A 6,000-nucleotide genomic window follows, 5' to 3' on the forward strand; every position below is an offset into this window, starting at 1 on the left:
CTTCTCCCTATCGTTCACATTTTCCATGCAGCTAACCCTCAAAAGTAGGAAAAGGGTGATTGCAGCACTTTCGTGTGTATCTCCGTCCAGTGTACAGAATACACCAGTGCTGAACCTGGTTGGGAGGCTTCTGCTGCTTGAGGGCGCCTGAGGATGGGAAGCTCTTTGGTGGTAGTGTTATGGGATCTCTGGGGTGTTGATTTTGCTGGTGTATCTCCTGGAAACCTCTGTGGCTGTGGCACTTTGCCCAAATTCTTGTTCTTTTCCTGTATCATACACAGACAAGTGAGGGGTGAAGAAGAGTTTTATTTAGTGTTCCAACAGCTCAGAGGAGTGAGTAGCTCCTCACTGTAGGCTGGTTGCCCATGGAGTGTTCAGTCCTCGGCAGAAAGGAGGCCCTGAAGAGGGTAGCTCCTCTCCACAGGCAAGTCATTTGGATGTCTCTACAGGTCTCTGAAGCTCTCATAGCAGAGAAAATACGTCCTCTCTGCCGGCAGGTCTCTGAAGCTTTCAGTGGAGAGAGTACTATTCTCTCTCCAGCTGGTCGTCTGTACAGTCGTCTCTCTGCCCTCTTTGTTTTGTGGTCCTTCTCTGGCCTGCTCTGGCTGGTCTCGGGACTTTTATAGGCCTTAGAGGGGAGGAAGTGCATGCCGATTGGTCCATGGGTGGCCATAGGCGGGTCCAGAAGAGGCACCACGAGTCCCCACTCAGGTCCGCAGGACTGGCAGCCCAGCCTTCAAGGCCCTCCCTGGCCTGAAAGTGGGACCTTTCCACAAAAAGATATGTAACATTTTCAATTTTCTATGTCATCTGTAAATTGTTACAACAAATCCAGGTAGACTGAAGTATATGGAGACTGCATAGTGTGAATTCTAAAGTTAAGAAAAAAACAATAAAATAAAATGCCAAAAGATGAAGATTTATACTGAAAAAATCAATAGAGGTGATAAAATAAAATACCAAACAATTTTGATTAGTCCAATAGGATGCAAATAGGAGGAATTGTGTTTTTTGAAAAGGGTACAGATACGTAGAAAACAAAAAGCAAATGTTAGATTTAAATCTTACCAGAGAGATAGCTATAATGACTACAAACAGAATAAACACTTCTATTAAAAAGAAGAGATTGACAGACAACTCACTTTAAAAATAAAGAATTGATAGGGCAGTAAAGTAATAGACAAAAATACAACTTGCAAAAAGATATTCCATGTGCATGGATACACAAAGATAGCAGGGTTAGCTATACTTGTATCAGACAAAATAGTCTTTAGGTCAAAAATTGTAAAAAGAGATTAAGAAAGTCATTATGTAATAATATTTCAATATTAAGAGGATATAACAATTATAAATATATATGCGCCCAAAACTAGAGCACCTAAATATATAAAGCAAATTTAAAATAATTTAAAGGGAGAGATAAACTAAAATGCAATTGTAGGAGATGACTTTAATACTTTTTTTTTTACTTTTTGTTTAGAAACAGGGTTTTGCTCTGTTGCCTGGGCTGGAGTGAAGTCACACAATCATAGCTCACTGTAACCTTGAATTCCTGAGCTCAAGCAATCCTCCTGCCTCCAGCCTCCTAAGTAGCTAGGACTACAGGCGTGTGCCACCACCATGCCTGGCAATTTTTTTTTTTTTTTTTTTTTTGGTAGAGACAGGGTCTAGTATGTTGTGCAGGCTGGTCAACTTGAACTCCTGGCCTCAAGCAATCCTCCCTCCTAGACTTCCCAAAGTATTGGGATTACAGGTGTGAACCGCCAGCATGAGCCTGGCCAATATTTCACTTTCAACAAGGAATAGAACATCCAGACAGAAAATCAAAAAGGAAACATTGGCCTTCAAACCAAGTAGACCTCATAGATGTATACAGAACATTTCATCCAACAGCAACAGAATACACATGCTTTTCTGGAGCACATGGAACATTGTGCAGGATAGATTCTATGTTACAGCACAACATAAGAAGACTGAAATTATATCAAGTGTCTGTTCTAATCACAATGGTATGAAACTAGAAAATAACAACAGGAGAAATCTTGCAAAATGCACAAATATGTGGAAATTAAACAACCTGCTCCTGAATAACAATGAGCCAAAGAAGAAATCACAGAGAAAACAAAAAATATCTTGGGACAAATAAAAATGAAAATATAACACAATATGAAAATGGAAAAATCACAAGAAGCAACCTAACTTTACATCTCAAGCAACTAGGGAAAGAACAAACTAAAACCCCAAGTGAGCAGAATAAAAGAAACAATAAAGATCAGTGCAGAAATAAGTGAAATTGAGACTAGAAAACAGCAGAAAAAAATCAATACACAATTGAGAACTGGATTTTTTGAAAAGATAAGCAAAATTCACAAACCTTTCCCTAAACTATAAAAAAAGACAGAAGACTCAAATAAAACCAGAAATGAAAGAGGAAACATTACAATTGATACCACAGAAGTAAAAAAAAGATCATAAAAAGCTACTATGAACAGCAACCAATCAGATAATCTAGAAGAAATGGATAAATTCCTAGCAACATATAATATACCAAGTATGAATCATTAAGAAATAGAAAATACAGGCTGGGCATGGTGGCTCACGCCTGTAATTCCAGCAACTTTGGAAGGCCAAGGTGAGCGGATCACTTGAGGCCAGAAGTTCAAGACCAGCCTGACCAACATGGCAAAACCTCATCTCTACTAAAAATACAAAAATTAGCCGGTTTCAGGGCATATGCCCTAATCCCAGCTTCTCGAGAGGCCAAGGAATGAGAATTGCTTGAACCTGGGAGGCAGAGGTTGCATAGCCAAGATTGTGCCACTGCACTCCAGCTTGGGCAACAGAGCAAGACTCTGTCTCAGAAAGAAAGAAAGGAAATAAGGAAAGGAAGGAATGAGAGGAAGGAAAGGAAGAAAGGAAGAAAGAAAATGTAAAAAGTATAAGTAAGGAGATAAAATAAAAAGTCTCCCACCAAAGACAAGCTTAAAAACTGATGGCTTCACTGATGAATTCTACAACAGTTAAAGAGAATACCAGTATCTCTGAAGATCTTCCAAAAAATTGAAATGGAAATAGAATTTCCAAACTGACTTCATGAGACCAGCATTACTCTAATACCAAAGCCAGACAAAAACACTATTAAAAAAACTACAGGCCAATATCTCCAATGAACATAGATGCACCAATTCTCAATAAATACTAGCAAAACCAAACTCGACAACACATCATAAACATCATATGAACAAGTGGGAATTATCCCTGGGATGGACAAAGCAATGCATATGATACCCCACATTAACAAAATGAACGATAAAAACCACATGGCTATCTCCGTTGATGCATAAAAACTATTTGACAAAATTTAACATTCATGTTTTCTTCAAAAAAGCTCTCAACAAAATTGGTACAGAAGAAAACTTCCTAAATACAGAAAGGTCATTCATGAAAAGCCCACAGCTAGTACCATAATGAGGAAATACTGAAATATTTTACTCTAAGATCGAGTGCAAAGCAAAGATGCCCCCCTCTCACCACTTCAACACACAACTGACAGTAATAGCAAGAGCAATCAGAAAAGAAAAAGAAAAACATTTGAGGTAGCAAAGAAAAACTAAATTATCCCTATTTGCAGAAAGCATTATTTTATATGTAGACAACCTTAAAAACGCTAATTAAAAAAAGTTAAAACCAATGAATTCCATAACGTTGCAGGATAAAAAAAACCAACATACAAAAAGCAATAAGCATTTCCATATATTTAACAAACTATCTGCAAAAGAAATCAAGAAAACACCACTTTCAATAGCATCAAAAAAATTTAAATACTTAAAAATAAACTTAACCCAGAAAAACGAAGTATCTGCACACTGACAACTCTAATACATTAAGGAAATAAATTGAAGACACAAGTAAAAAGATATCCCACGGACATCATGACAAGTGAAGTGTGAAAAAGAGTTTTATTTAGTGTTAGAGCAGCTCCGAGGAGTGGGTAGCTGCTCACTGCAGGCTGGCTACCCGTGGAGTGCTCAGCTCTCAGCAGAAAAGAGGTCCTGCAGAGGTTAACTCCTCTCCACAGGTAAGTCATTCAGGTATCTCTGCAGGTCTCCGAAGCTCTAAGCAAAGACAGTAGCTCCTCTCTGCCGGCAAGTCCCTGCATCTCGCAGTGGAGCGAGTACCCTTCTCTTTCCAGCTATTGGTCTGTCCAGCAGCCTCTCCGCCGTCCTCTCTGGCTGGTCGTTCTCCTGCCGAGTCCGCCTGGTCCCGGGACTTTTATAGGCCTCAGGCGGGGAGGAAGTGCATGCCGATTGGCCCATGCGTGGCCATGGGCGGGTCCAGAAGAGGCACCACGAGTCTCCACTCAGGTCCGCAGGACTGGCAGCCCAGCCTTCAAGGCCCGCCCTGACCTGAAAGAGGGACCTTTACTGGGGACCTTCCCCCTTCCGCCAAGGACTCCGTCTGCCTCCTGTGGTCATTCAAGGCCCCCAGGGCTCGGCCCCAAATCCGATCCAAGATCGGAGCAGTTGCCAGGAGTGGAGAAAAGCCAGGTAGTGGGAGCAGACGCCCCAGAGCCTACAGGGACAGAAGTGGGGGAAGGGAGGGGTCCTTTCTGGGGCCCCCGAGGGTGCAGGCTGCAGAGATGCCCGGGTCCTGCAGGTAAGAAGGCAGCTGCAGCGCCTAGGAGGGCAGACGCAGCCACACCCCTGAAGGCAGACCCTGTCTGCTCCCAGCCCTCCCCCAAGAGCACAGAGGGGGCTCGGATCCACAGGTGCAGTTTGGGCTGCTATGGCCCCGGCCCTCCCGCCTGCTCCGTACAACAGGAGGCCTGGGTCTGCGTCTGCAGTTTGGGCGCCTGGAGCTCCAGTCCCAACTCAGAAGGGACAGGGCTCCCACCAGCTCCCTGGAGCGTGCAGCTCCAGCCGTGCCTCCCTGCTGTAGCCGGCATACTGGCAGCAGCCACTGCCATCAGCAGAGTGGGGGAAAGACCTCCTCAGCCAAGCGGGCATCAAGTTATCCCCAGCTCGCCAGGGAATCTCAATGGGAAGACAACGATTCCCCAAGAATTGGGCATTCCTGCACATTTTTGGTGGGCTTATAAATTGGTGCAGCTTCTTAGAGGTCAATTTTGGTATTATCTACCAATTTATAAATGTGAACATTCTTTGACCCAACAATTCCACTCCCAGGAATCTGTTCTACAGAAATATTTGCATTAGCACCTAAAGACATAAGATATTCAATGCGTCAGTATGTACGCAGAGGTCGAAAACCATCTACCTGCTACCAGGGGAACAGATATAGTTTATTCATACTATGGGGTACTATGGCACTGTAAATTTTATGATACACATAAATTTTTACAGGGAGCATGTATTGCTTTGCAATTAAAAAGGAAATGAGGTGGCTACACCCTCCCCAAGTCCTCCTTATTCCTCAGCTCCCTCAGCTGTGCTTTGGCTGAACCCCCAGCCTCTTTTCCATGCCATTTGTGTCAGGACATTCCCATGCACTCCCCACCCGGCAGACGGCCTGGGAAGGAGGCAGCCAGATAGCTCGACATGGCTCGCTTCCCAGGTAATCTGACCCAAGGGAAACACAGGCTGGCACTGGGGAGGGTTAAGCGGGCTCTCTCTAAGGTCTTCATCTCCCAGTTTTCTTTTCCTCTGGGCAGGTCGTCCAGCCCATCAGAACAAGATACCAAGCTCCTCTTCTTGCAGACATCCCCCAAAGTTCCATGTGATTCTTTTAGGGGCTGCTTGGGGAGTGGCAAGTACTCCTAACTCCATCCCCATGGAGGGCAGGGAATCACCTCTTTCCAGGAGCACCATGCCCAGGGCCATGGTGACTCCCTCTCCAGCCTACTTCCCACCCCCAACCCCTCCCAAAGAAATGACCTCCTCTTTGGACCACTTTTTTATTTCACATTTATTTCTTTTATTTATATTTTATGGTCAGTGCAAACAATTCCATAAAGTAAAAACTTATGAAGAATCAAAGCAT

This window comes from Homo sapiens, chromosome 5, assembly GCF_000001405.40.
Source record: "Homo sapiens chromosome 5, GRCh38.p14 Primary Assembly".
Classification (NCBI taxonomy): Eukaryota; Metazoa; Chordata; class Mammalia; order Primates; family Hominidae; genus Homo; species Homo sapiens.